The sequence below is a fragment of the Homo sapiens genome, chromosome 15, assembly GCF_000001405.40.
Source record: "Homo sapiens chromosome 15, GRCh38.p14 Primary Assembly".
Lineage (NCBI taxonomy): Eukaryota > Metazoa > Chordata > Mammalia > Primates > Hominidae > Homo > Homo sapiens.
In genome coordinates this window covers 25,236,812-25,249,489 of record NC_000015.10, presented here as the reverse complement: position 1 = coordinate 25,249,489, position 12,678 = coordinate 25,236,812, and the positions used below count along the sequence as shown (strand labels likewise).

The following is a 12,678-nucleotide window of genomic DNA, read 5'->3' as shown; positions in this document are numbered from 1 at the left end:
GCCAACATGCCCTATCCCCAGGAAGCAGAGCCTGGACACCAAGTCAACACAGGGAGCCTGGGCTGCCTCACGGAGGGGCACAGAGACAGGGCTAGGACCCCTGAGATGCCCTTTGGGGCCTCAAGTTCTTCAGTATAAAATACAGTGGCTAGTGGCCCTGCCGGGGATCTTGGCATCCCAGCGCTCCCTTCCAAAATTCTCACCTAGCCTGGGCCTCAGCGTAATCCTATTGAGCATGATTTTTAAGTCATCACCTCTCTTCAGGACAATATAAGGTTCTCATCATTGACCCAATCAAGGCCCTCCCCATGCATGCATCCAGCAGAACCTGGATGTGCTCACCACAGCTCAGTGCAGGAGACCAGGGTGCCAGGGAGGGTCTGAGCTTCAGCGCACTGGGGGATGAGCACCAGGCTGACAGACACTGGCCTGGGGCCTGTAGGGTCCCAATACAAGTCTTCCTCCAGGCTCACCATCTGGGGTGGTGACAGGAGAAGGACATGTGTCCAACCAGGGCCTCACATATGAGCGAGGGGAATGTGGGTAGGGGATACCCATGTGATGGAATCCATGAAGAACACTGACTCATCACAGACACAGGGCACCATTGGCCCTGCTGGCCACCAAACCTTGGAAAGACAGGGAAGGTGGGTCACTGGGCTGGGGCAAGATGCCCTACTGCAGGCCCCAACAGCACCTCCACTGCTCGGGCCGGCTCCCCCGAACAACCCCAGGGCCGCACTGGGACTATGGGGACGGGTGAGGGCAACCAACCTGCTCATGGCCAACCAGCGAGTCTGGCCCTAACACCAGGAGCCAATGCAGACCTGGCCATTGCAGAGCCTACCCTGGGCATGGTGGGTGCCCACCCTGGTGCCCTCTCCAAGCACACACCAGAAATCAAAGCCTGGGGGCCTCCAGGGCCACGTACTTTCTCTGGTGGGTCCTCATCTTGCCCTACACCTCCCACACACAGAGCCAGGTCCCACTTGGTCAATAAGAAACCACATGGTGTCCTCTCCTTTCCTTGGGATCAAGACCCTACCACCCTGGAGGTGACCCCGTGGCTCAGAAGCAGCCTGTGTGGCAAATTCCCAGAACAGGTCCCTCGACAGCAGGACTTCCCACCTCAGGAGGACATCCTTTCGGCCACTGAATCTCAAGGAAGGGGAGACCCCAGAGGGACGTGAGCTGGCCCCTTGTCCCAAAGACCACAACCCCCAGGGCTGCCTGCAGCACCACCAGGCACCAGCCAGAGCTCAGCCTTGATTCAACTGCATTGAAACAGTGCCTCCCCCTACCAGGCTCAAGGAGGTACCACTGAGATGGCCCATTACTCAACAGGGTCGGTCCCATTCAGGGCCATGGATGGGGTGCAGTCCTGAATCTCCGGGGCCTGTCTGCGTGGGCCCAATCACCCACCACTGTCCAGAGAGGGAGAACTCCAGCGTGACCCCCAGGTTGCCCCAGAGCCCCTGTTGCCCACCTCATGTGGCCTGGGCAGTCCTCGAGGCCTGACCAGCCCGCTGAGTTTCAGCTGGGAGCTGCTCTATGTTGGGCTGAAGGAACCCTTTCCTGCCGGGACCACCATCACCTTTGCAGGGCTTCACGAAATGCATGCTCCTAGGGTCAGATTCCCAAGGAAGTGACCCTACTGGAGAAACATTCCCTCCCCGGTCGCACCCTGAGAAAACCCTAGTGGCCCGAAGGCTGACCATAAATGGCCCCATGCTGCCTCATTCATGGCCCATGACCCCAACAGGATACACTCACCTATGCCGCTTAAGGCCATGGGCCTCACCTGGGCAGAAGAGCTCACTGAAAGACATGGGGGAGAAAGCAGGCTCAGGAAGGAGCCACCAACATGCCCCACCCCCAGGGAACCAGAGCCCGGACACCATGCCCACACAGGGAGCCTGGGCTGCCTCATGGAGGGGCACAGAGATAGGGTTGGACCCCCCTGAGATGCCCTTCAGGGCCTCAAGTTCTCCAGCCCAAAATATAGTGGCCCTGCCAGGGATCTCGGGATCCCAGCATCCTCTTCCAAAATTCTCACCTAGGCTGGGCCTCAGCGTAATCCTATTGAGCATGATTTTTAAGTCATCACCTCTCTTCAGAACAATATAAGGTTCTCATCATCGACCCAACTGAGGGGATCAATCACCTCGTGCATGCATCCAGCAGGACCCGGATGTGCTCACCACAGCTCAGTGCAGGAGACCAGGGCGCGAGGAAGGGCCCGAGCTTCAGCGCATCAGGGGCTGGGCAACAGGCTGATGGCCACTGGCCCAGGAACAACAGGCCCAATGCAAGTCTTCCTCCGGTCTCACCATCTGGGAGAGAGGTGGAGAACATGTGTCCAAAGTTACCTCCATGTAGGGAAGGAGGTAGGACGTGCCAGTTCACACTTGCTTATCTTCCACGGACACATGTGATGAGAGCCATGTGAAATACTGACTTGTCACCAACACGGGGCACCCTTGGCCCTGCCTGCCACCGAACCCTGGAAGGACAGGGCAGGTAGTTCATTGGGCTTGGGATAAATGCCCAGGCCGTGCCATGCTGCAGGCTTTAAGAGCACCTCCACTGCCCAAGAGGCCTCCGCTGCATGACACCAGGGCTTCCCTGGGATCACTGGGCACAGGCCAGGGTCATTAGCCAGGTCATGGCCAACCAAGAAGGCTGGCCAAGATGCCATGCGCCACTGCAGACCTGGCAGTTGCATAGCCTACCCCGGGCATGTGGGGCACGCATACAGGCGCCCTCTCTAAGCATGCACTGGAAATCACAGCTTGAGTCACATGCTTTCTTTGGTGGGCCACCATCCATACCCCGCATATCTCCGACACACTTGAACAATCAGGAGACACATGGTGCCCTCTCCATTGCTTGGGCCCAAACCTCCATCACCCTGGAGGTGACACAATGGATTCCAAGCAGCCTGAGCAACAAAATCCTAGGAAAGGTCCCTCGACAGTGGGCCTTCCCTTCTCAGGAGGTCACCCTCTATGACGCTTGATCTCAGAGATAGGGTAATCTCCAGCGGGATGCGGGCTGCCCCTCGGCCCAAAGCCCACGAGTCCCAGGGCTGACCTGCAGCACAACCAGGTATGGGCCAGAGCTCTGCCTTGACTCAACCCCAGGAAGACAACGCCACCTCCCATCAGGCTCCAGGAGACCCACTGGAATGGCCCATTACTCAACAGGGACGGTCACATTCCAGGCCATGGGTGGAGCACAATCCTTTTATCTCCAAGACCTAACCCTAAGGGTCCATTCACACACCACACTCTAGGGACTGAGAGCTCCCATGTGACCCCCGTGGCACCCAGAGCCCCTCTGGACCCCCTCGTGTTCAGGCAGTCCTCAAGGACTGACCCGAACACCGAGTGTCAGCTAGGAGCTGCCTTGCCCGGGCTGATGGAACCCTTTCCTGCCTGGACCACCGTCACCCCTGCAGGGCTTCAGGTATCCTCCTTGGGTCTAATTCCCAAAAAAGCTGCCCTCCTGGAGAACCCGTCTCTCCCAGGTGGGAATTCAGGTCGGCTGCCTGAGAAAACCCTTGTGGCCCAAAGGCTGAACCTCAGCGACCCCACATGGCCTGGCTGATGGCCCATGACCCCAGCAGGATGCACTCACCTATGCCAGTCAATGCCAGGGGGCCCATCTGGGAGGAAAAGTTCACTGAAAGACACAAGGGAGGAATGGGGGCTCAGGAAGGAGCCAGCAATGTTCCCTGGCCCCAGGGAACTGGAGCACCAACACCAAGCCCGCAGAGGTAGCCTGGGCTGCCCCAAGGAAGAGCACAGAGACAGGGTTGGGCCTCCTTCCAGATGCCCTTCAGGGCCTCCAGGTCTCCAACCCAAAATACAGTGCCCTGTTGGAGATCTCGGGATCCCAGTGTCTTCTTCCAACATACTCACCTAGGTTGGGCCTCAGCGTAATCCTATTGAGCATGATTTTTAAGTCATCACCTCTCTTCAGGACAATAGAAGGTTCTCATCACTGACCCAACCAAGGGCAAGCCCCTCTCCATGCATGCATCCAGCGGAACCTGAATGTGCTCACCACAGCTCAGTGCAGGAGACCAGGGTGCCACGGAGGGTCTGAGCTTCAGCACACTGGGGGTGAGCACCAGGCTGACGGACACTGGCCTGGGGCCTGTGGGGGCCCAATACAAGTCTTCCTCAAGGCTCACCATCTGGGGTGACAGGAGAAGGACATGTGTCCAACCAGGGCCTCACGTATGAGCAAGGGGAAGGTGGGTAGGGGATACCCACGTGATGGAATCCATGAAGAACACTGATCCAACACAGACGCAGAGCATCATTGGCCCTCCCGGCCACCAAACCCTGGAAAGACAAGGCAAGCAGGTTACTGGGCTCAGGCAAGATGCCTGGGCTGTTCCCTACTGCAGGCCCTAAGCGCACCTCCACTGCTTGAGCCGGCTCCCCTGAAAAACCCCAGGGCCACACTGGGACCATGGGGATGGGTCAGGGCAACCAACCTGCTCATGGCCAACCAATGAGTCTGGCCCTGACACCAGGAGCCAATGCAGACCTGGCAGTCGCAGAGCCTGCCCTGGGCGTGGTGGGTGCCCAACCTGGTGCCCTCTCCAAGCACACACCGGAAATCAAACCCTGGGGGCCTCCAGAGCCACGTGCTTTCTCTGGTGGGTCCTCATCTTGCGTTACACCTCCCACACACAAAGCCAGGCCACACTTGGTCAATAAGAAACCACATGGTGTCCTCTCCTTTCCTTGGGATCAAGACCCTACCACCCTGGAGGTGACCCCGTGGCTCAGAAGCAGCCTGTGTGGCAAATTCCCAGAACAGGTCCCTCGACAGCAGGACTTCCCATCTCAGGAGGACACCCTTTTGGCCACTGAATCTCAAGGAAGGGGTGACCCCAGTGGGATGTGAGCTACCCCTTGTCCCAAAGACCACAACCCTCAGGGCTGCCTGCAGCACCACCAGGCACCAGCCAGAGCTCAGCCTTGATTCAACTGCATTGAAACAGTGTCTCCCCCTACCAGGCTCAAGGAGGTACCACTGAGATGGCCCATTACTCAACAGGGTCGGTCCCATTCAGGGCCATGGATGGGGTGCAGTCCTGAATCTCCGGGGCCTGTCTGCGTGGGCCCAATCACCCACCACTGTCCAGAGAGGGAGAACTCCAGCGTGACCCCCAGGTTGCCCCAGAGCCCCTGTTGCCCACCTCATGTGGCCTGGGCAGTCCTCGAGGCCTGACCAGCCTTCCGAGTTTCAGCTGGGAGCTGCGCTATGTTGGGCTGAAGGAACCCTCTCCTGTCTGGACCACCATCACCTTTGCAGGACTTCAAGAAATGCGTGCTCCTAGGATCAGATTTCCAAGGAAGTGACCCTACTGGAGAAATGTTCCCTCCCCGGTCGCACCCTGAGAAAACTCTAGTGGCCCGAAGGCTGACCCTAAATGGCCCCATGCTGCCTCATTCATGGCCCATGACCCCAACAGGATACACTCACCTATGTCGTGTAAGGCCATGGGCCCCACCTGGGCAGAAGAGCTCACTGAAAGACATGGGGGAGAAAGCGGGCTCAGGAAGGAGCCACCAACATGCCCCGCCCCCGGGGAACCAGAGACCAGACACCAAGCCCACACAGGGAGCCTGGGCTGCCTTACAGAGGGGCACAGAGACAGGGTGGCACCCCCTGAGAGGCCCTTCAGGGCCTTGAGTTCTCCACCCCAAAATATAGTGGCCCTGCCTGGGATCTCAGGATCCCAGCATCCTCTTCCAAAGTTCTCACCTAGGCTGGGCCTCAGCGTAATCCTATTGAGCATGATTTTTAAGTCATCACCTCTCTTCAGGAAAATATAAGGTTCTCATCATCGACCCAACCCACGAGACCAACCACCTCTTGCATGCATCCAGCGGGACCCGGATGTGCTCACCACAGCTAGTGCAGGAGACCAGGGTGTGAGGAAGGGCCTGAGCTTCAGCGCCTCAGGGGCTGGGCAACAGGCTGATGGCCACTGGCCCAGGAACAGCAGGCCCAACACAAGTCTTCCTCCCGTCTCACCATCTGGGAGAGAGGTGGAGAACATGTGTCCAAAATGGCCTCTATGTAGGGAAGGAAGTAGCGGGTGCCAGTTCCCGCTTGCTCGTCCTCCATGGGCACATGTGATGAGATCCATGTGAAATACTGACTTGTCACTGACATGGGGCACCCTTGTCCCTCCCTGCCACCCAACCCTGGAAGGACAGGGCAGGTAGGTCACTGGGCTCGGGCCAAATGCCCAGCCTGCGCCATATTGCAGGCCCTGAGAGGACCTCCACTGTCCAAGAGGGCTCCCCTGCATGACCCCAAGGCACGGGCCAGGGCCATTAGCTAGGTCATGGCCAACCAAGAAGGCTGGCCCAGATGCCATGTGCCACTGCAGTCCTGGCAGTCACGTAGTCTGCCCCTGGGTGTGGTGGGCTCACATCAAGATGCCCTCTCTAAGCATGTACTGGAAATCACAGCTTGGGGCTGCAGGGCCACGTGCTTTCTCTGGTGGGTCACCAGCCATGCTCTGCACACCTCCCACCACAGAGCTAGGCTACACTTGGCCAACTCAGAGCGACATGGTGCCCTCTCCTTTGCTTGGGCCCAAGACCCTGTCACCCTGGAGGTGATACCATGGCTCAGAAGAAGCCTGAGCAACAAAATCCTGGGACAGGTCCCTCGACAATGGGCCTTCCCACCTCAGGAGGCCACCCTTCGTGACATTCGACCCCAGAGATAGGGTGACCCCCCAGCAGGATGCCAGCTGTCCCTTGGCCCAAAGCTTACGAGTCCCAAGGCTGACCTGCAGCATGACCAGGTACCAGAGCTCCACCTTGACCCAACCCCAGGGAAAAAACGTCGCCCTGCACCAGACTCCAGGAGACCCGGTGGGATGGCCCATTGCTCAATAGGGATGGTCACTTTCAGGGCCATGGGTGGGGTGTGATCCTTGAATCTCCGTGACCAAACCCCATTCACACACCACACTCCAGGGACCAAGAGCTCCCCTATTACCCCAGTGGTGCTCCATAGCCCCTCTGGCCTCCTTCATGTGGCCTGGGCAGTCCTGGAGACCTTACTGGAGCACTCAGTCTCAACTGGGAGCTGTCCTGCATTGGGCAGAAGGAACCCTCTCCTGCCTGGACCACCATCACCCTTGCAGGGCTTCAGGGAAGGCATCCTCCTTGGGCTAGATTCCCAAAAAAACTACCCTCCAGGAGAACCCTTCCCTCCCAGGTGGAAATTCAGGTCTGCTCCCCGAGAAAACCCTTGTGGACTGAAGGCTGAACCTCGGGGACCCCACACGGTCTAGCTCATGACCAATGACCCCAGCAGGATCCACTCACCTATGCCAGTCAATGCCAAGGGGCCCTCCTGGGTGGAAGAGCTCACTGAAAGACACAAGGTGAGAATGAGGGCTCAGGAAGGAGCCACCAACATTCCCCACACCAGAGAACCGGAGCACCAACACCAACCCTGCACAGGGAGCCTGGGCTGCCTCATGGAGGAGCGCAGAGACAGGTTGGGCCACCTCCAGATGCCCTTCAGAGCCTCCAGGTCTCTAGCCCAAAATACAGTGGCCTTGCTGAGGACCTCAGCATCCCATAATCCCCTTCCAAAATTCTCACCTAGGCTGGGCCTCAGCGTAATCCTATTGAGCATGATTTTTAAGTCATCACCTCTCTTCAGGACAATATAAGATTCTCATCATTGACCCAACGTAGAAAACCCCCTCCCCGCACAAAAATCCAGTGGAACCCGGATGTGCTCACCACAGCTTAGTGCAGAAGACTGGGGCACCAGGAAAGGCTGGAGCTTCAGTACACCAGGGGCTGAGCACCTGGCTGATGGACACTGGCCCAGGAAAAGTGGGCCCAATGGAAGTCTTCCTCCAGTCTCATCATCTGGGGGCACAGGTGGAGGACATGTGACCACCCTCCACGCGGAGAAGGGGGTGGCTGGTGCCAGCTCATGCTTGCTCGTCCTTCATGGTCACGTGTGATGAGATCCATGCAAAATACTGACTCGTCACCAATGTGGGGCACCCTTGGCTCTCCCTGCCACTGAACCCGGGAAGGACAAGGCAGGCAGGTCACTGGGCTTGAGCAAAACACCCAGGCTGTGCTGTACTGTAGGACCCGAGAGCACATCCACTGCCCAAAACGGCTCCCCTGCACGACCCCAGGGCTACCCTGGGACCACTGGGCACAAGCACAGGCCACCACCCAGGTCACAGCCAACGAAGGAGGCTGGCCCATATGCCAGGTGCCCCTGCAGACCCTGAAGTGGCATAGCCTGCTCCTGGGCATGGTGGGCATGCATATAGGCACCCTCTCCAAGCCTACACCAGAAATTACATTCTGGGACTGCAGGGCCACTTGCTTTCTCTGGTGGGTCCCCATCCATACTCCACACACTTCCCAGGCACAGAGCCAGCCACACATGGCCAATTGGGAGCCACGTAGTGTCCCCTCCTTTGCTTAGTCCCAAGATCCCGCCACCCTGGAGGTGACACCATGGCTCCCAAGCAGCCTGAGGAACAATTCCTAGTCTAGGTGCCTTGACAGTGGGCCTTCCCACCTCAGGAGGCCATCCTTCACGACACTCAACCTCGGAGAAAAGGCGACCCCCAGCAGGATGCGGGCTGCCTCTTGGCCCAAAGCCCACGAGTCCCAGGGCTGACCTGCAGCACCATCAGGTACCAGTCAGAGCTCCGCCTTGACCCAACCCCAGGAAAACAATGCCACCCCACACCAGGCCCCAGGAGACCCACTGGGATGGCCCATTGCTCAACAGGGATGGTCGCATTCAGGGCCGTGGGTGAGATGCAATCCTTGAATCTCCGTGACCCAACCCCATGGGCCCATTCATGTACCACACTCCGGGGGCCAAGAGCTCCCCTGTTGCCCCCATGGTTCCCCATAGCCCCTCTGACCTCCTTCATGTGGCCTGGGCAGTCCTCGAGCCCTTACCAGAGCACCAATTCTCAGGGGGGCACTGCCCTGCATTGGGCCTCGAGTTGGGCAGAAGGAACCCTTTCCTGCCTGGACCACCATCACCCCTGCAGGGCTTCAGGGAAGGTGTCCTCCTTGGGTCTGATTCCCAAAAAAGCTGCCTCCTGGAGAACCCATCTCTCCCAGGTGGGAATTCAGGTTGGCTGCCTGAGAAAACCCTTGTGGCCCAAAGGCTAAACCTCAGCAACCCCACACAGACTATCTAGTGGCCCATTATCCCAGTAGGATGCACTCACCTATGTCGGTCAATGCCAGGGGGCCCACCTGGGTGGAAAAGCTCACTGAAAGACACAAAGGGAGAATAGGGGCTCAGGAAGGAGCCACCAACCCGCCCTGTCCCTGGGGAACCAGAGCACCAACACCAAGCCCACACAGGGAGTGTGGGTTGCCTCACGGAGGAGCACAGAGACAGGGCTGGGCCCCCTTCCAGATGCCCTTTAGGGCCTCCAGGTCTCCAGCCCAAAATACAGTGACCCTGACTGGGATCTCAGGATCCCAGCCGTCCTCTTCCAAAATTCTCACCTAGGCTGGGCCTCAGCGTAATCCTATTGAGCATGATTTTTAAGTCATCATCTCTCTTCAGGACAATGTAAGGTTCTCATCATTGACCCAACTCTGGGCAGGCCCCTCCCCATTCATGCATCCAGCAGGACCCGGATGGGCTCACCACAGCTCAGTGCTGGACACCAGGGTGCCAGGAAGGGTCTGAGCTTCAGCGCACTGGGAGCTGAGCACCTGGCTGATGGACACTGGCCTGGGGCCTGGGGGCCCGACACAAGTCTTCCTCCAGGGTCAGCATCTGCAGGGACAGGAGGAGGACATGTGTCCAACCAGGGCCTCACATAACAATGCACAGAAGTTGGGTAGGGGATACCCTTGTGATGGGATCCATGCAGAACACTGATCCATTTCAGATGCGGGGCACAGTTGGCCCTCCCTGCCACCAAACCCTGGAAAGACAGGGCAAGTGGGTTACTGGGCTCGGGCAAGACACCTGGGCTGCGCCCTACTGCAGGCCTTGAGAGCACCTCCACTGCCGGTGCTGTCTCCCCAAACAACCCCAGGGCTGCACCAGGACCACAGGGCACAGGCTAGGGCAACCAACCTGCTCATGGCCAACCAAGGAGCGTGGTCTTCATGCCAGGAGCCACTCCAGACCTGGCAGTCACAGAGCCTGCCCCTGGGCATGGTAGGGCTGCCCTGGTGCCCACTGCAAGCACACACCAGAAATCAAAGCCTGGGGGCCTACAGGGCCACATGCTTTCTCTGATGGGTCCCCATCCATGCCCTGCACACCTCCCACACACAGATCCAGGCCACACTCCCAGTCAGAAACCATATGGTGTCTCCTTTCCCTGGGCTCAAGACCCTGCCACCCTGGAGGTGACTCCATGGCTCAGAAGCAGCCTAGGTGGCAAATTCCCAGGACAAGTCCCTTGACAGCAGGTCTTCCACCTCAGGAGAACACCCTTCCTGCCACTGAATCTCAAGGAAGGGGTGACCCCAGAGGGATATGAGCTGCCCCCTTGGCCCAAAGCCCATGTGGGCACCACCGGGCACCAGCCAGAGTTCAGCCTTGACCCAACCGCATTGAAACAATGCCACTACCTACCAGGCTCAAGGAGGCACCATTAAAATGGCCCATTGTTCAACAGGGTCAGTCCCATTCAGGGCCATGGGTGGGTAGCATTCCTTGAATCTCCGCAGCCTGATCGCATGGGCCCTATCACCCACCCCTCTTGGGGCAAGAACTCCAGCATGACCCCCAGGGCACCCCAAATCCCCTGTGGCCCCCATCATGTGGCCCGAGCAGTCCTTGAGCCTGATCTGCCACCGAGTTTCAGCTGGGAACTGCATTATGTTGGGCTGAAGGAACCCTTTCCCGCCTGGACCACCATCACCCTGCAGAGCTTCAGGAAATGCATGCTCCTAGAGTCAGATTCCCAAGGAAGCGACCCTCCTGGAGGAACCATCCCTCCTGATGGGTAACCTGTTGGCTCCCTGAGAAAACCCCAGTGGCCCAAAGGCTGACTCTCGACGAACCGACGCTGCCTCACTCATGGCCCATGACCCTGACAGGATGCTCTGACCCATGCCGCTCAAAGCCAGGGGCCCCACCTGGGAAGAAGAACTTACTGAAAGACACAGGGAAGAAGGAGGGCTCAGGAAGAGGATGCCAAATTGCCCCACCCCTGGGGAAGCGAAGCATGGGCACCAAGCCCGCAACGGGAGCCTGGGCTGCCTCACGGAGAAGCACAGAGACAGGATTGCCCCCCCACAAGATGCGCTTCAGGTCTTGAAATTTTCCAGCCCAAAATAAGTGTGGCCCTGCCGGGGATCTCAGGATCCCAGCCTCATCTTCCAAAATTCTCACCTAGCTTGGGCTTCAGCATAATACTATTAAGCATGATGTTTAAGTCATCACCTTTTTTCAGGACAATATAAGGTTCTCATCATCAGCCCAACCCAGGGTACACCCCTCCCTTTGCATGCAAACAGTGGAACCCGGATGTAACCCCAGCTCAGTGCAGGAGCTGAGGGTGCCAGGAAGGGCCTGAGCTTCAGCACACTTGGAGCTGGGAACCTGGCTGACTGACACTGGCCCAGGAACAGCGGGCATAATGCAAGTCTTCCTCCAGTCTCACCATCTAGGGGGACTAGAGGAGGATATGTGTCCAAAATGACCTCCATGTGGGGAAGGCAGTGGGGGGTGGGGGCTCACATTTGCTTGCCCTCCAAGGAAAAATGTGATGTGATCCATGTGAATTACTGAGTCGTCACGGATGCGGGGCACCCTTGGCCCTCCCCGCCACCAAACCCTGGAGGAACAGAGCAGGCGGGTGACTGGGCTCAGGCCAAATGCCCAGGCTGCACTGTACTGCAGGCCCTGACAGCACCTCCACTGCCCAACATGGCTCCCCCACACGACCCCAGGGCCGCCCTGGCACCACTGGCCACAGGCCAAGGCCACCAGCCAGCTCACGGCCAACCAAGGTGGCTGGCCCAGATGCCACACGTGGCTCAGGCTGCAGACCTGGCTATCACGTAGTCTGCCCCTGGGCATGGTGGGCACAAATCAAGACACCCTCTCCAAGTGTGCATTGGAAATCACAGCCTGGGATGCAGGGCCACGTGCTTTCTCTGGTGGGTCACCGTCCATGCTCTGCACACCTCCCGCACACAGAGCTAGGCCATACTTGGCCAATCCAGAACGACATGGTGCCCTCTGCTATGCTCAGGCCCAAGACCCTGCCACTGTGGATGTGACGCCATGGCTCAGAAGCAGCCTGAGCAACAAAATCCTGGGACAGATCCCTTGACAGTAGGCCTTCTCACCTCAGGGGGCCACCCTTCATGACACTTGACCATGGAGATAGGCTGACCCCAAGCGGGATGCGGGCTGTCCCTTGGCCCAAAGCCCAAAAGTCCCAGGGATGATCTGCAGCACCACCAGGTACCAGCCAGAGCTCCACCTAGACCCAACCCCAGGGAAACAACACCACCCCCCGACCAGGCTCCAGGAGACCCACTGAGATGGCCCATTGCTCAAGAGGAAGAGTCACATTCAGGGCTGTGGGTAGGGTGTGATCCTTGAATCTACACAACCCAATCCCATGGGTCCATTCAGGCACCACAC

General features: G+C 58.5%; 1 long non-coding RNA gene and 7 other non-coding genes across 8 annotated transcripts in view; all 8 read right to left on the bottom strand.

Moving 5' to 3' along the window:
- The window catches only part of SNHG14 (small nucleolar RNA host gene 14), a 595,855-nt gene that overhangs the window by 169,973 nt on the left and 413,204 nt on the right, over positions 1-12,678 (bottom strand). The window contains exons 124-136 of the long non-coding RNA NR_146177.1: positions 9,709-9,840; positions 9,278-9,322; positions 7,800-7,931; positions 7,374-7,418; positions 5,933-6,063; positions 5,506-5,550; positions 5,219-5,355; positions 4,281-4,352; positions 4,069-4,201; positions 3,640-3,684; positions 2,202-2,333; positions 1,774-1,818; positions 343-476 (exon numbers count right to left, since the gene is read on the bottom strand). This is a non-coding gene — a long non-coding RNA (small nucleolar RNA host gene 14). The remainder of the gene's footprint in view (positions 1-342; positions 477-1,773; positions 1,819-2,201; positions 2,334-3,639; positions 3,685-4,068; positions 4,202-4,280; positions 4,353-5,218; positions 5,356-5,505; positions 5,551-5,932; positions 6,064-7,373; positions 7,419-7,799; positions 7,932-9,277; positions 9,323-9,708; positions 9,841-12,678) is intronic.
- SNORD115-43 (small nucleolar RNA, C/D box 115-43) lies at positions 211-292 on the bottom strand. The gene has a single exon (NR_003358.1). It is a non-coding gene; the product is annotated as a small nucleolar RNA, C/D box 115-43 (small nucleolar RNA).
- Positions 2,064-2,145, bottom strand: SNORD115-42 (small nucleolar RNA, C/D box 115-42). Its single transcript, NR_003357.1, has one exon. It is a non-coding gene; the product is annotated as a small nucleolar RNA, C/D box 115-42 (small nucleolar RNA).
- On the bottom strand, positions 3,931-4,012 carry SNORD115-41 (small nucleolar RNA, C/D box 115-41). Its single transcript, NR_003356.1, has one exon. It is a non-coding gene; the product is annotated as a small nucleolar RNA, C/D box 115-41 (small nucleolar RNA).
- SNORD115-40 (small nucleolar RNA, C/D box 115-40) lies at positions 5,795-5,876 on the bottom strand. The gene has a single exon (NR_003355.1). It is a non-coding gene; the product is annotated as a small nucleolar RNA, C/D box 115-40 (small nucleolar RNA).
- Positions 7,663-7,744, bottom strand: SNORD115-39 (small nucleolar RNA, C/D box 115-39). Its single transcript, NR_003354.1, has one exon. It is a non-coding gene; the product is annotated as a small nucleolar RNA, C/D box 115-39 (small nucleolar RNA).
- Positions 9,571-9,652, bottom strand: SNORD115-38 (small nucleolar RNA, C/D box 115-38). The gene has a single exon (NR_003353.1). It is a non-coding gene; the product is annotated as a small nucleolar RNA, C/D box 115-38 (small nucleolar RNA).
- SNORD115-37 (small nucleolar RNA, C/D box 115-37) lies at positions 11,423-11,504 on the bottom strand. The gene has a single exon (NR_003352.1). It is a non-coding gene; the product is annotated as a small nucleolar RNA, C/D box 115-37 (small nucleolar RNA).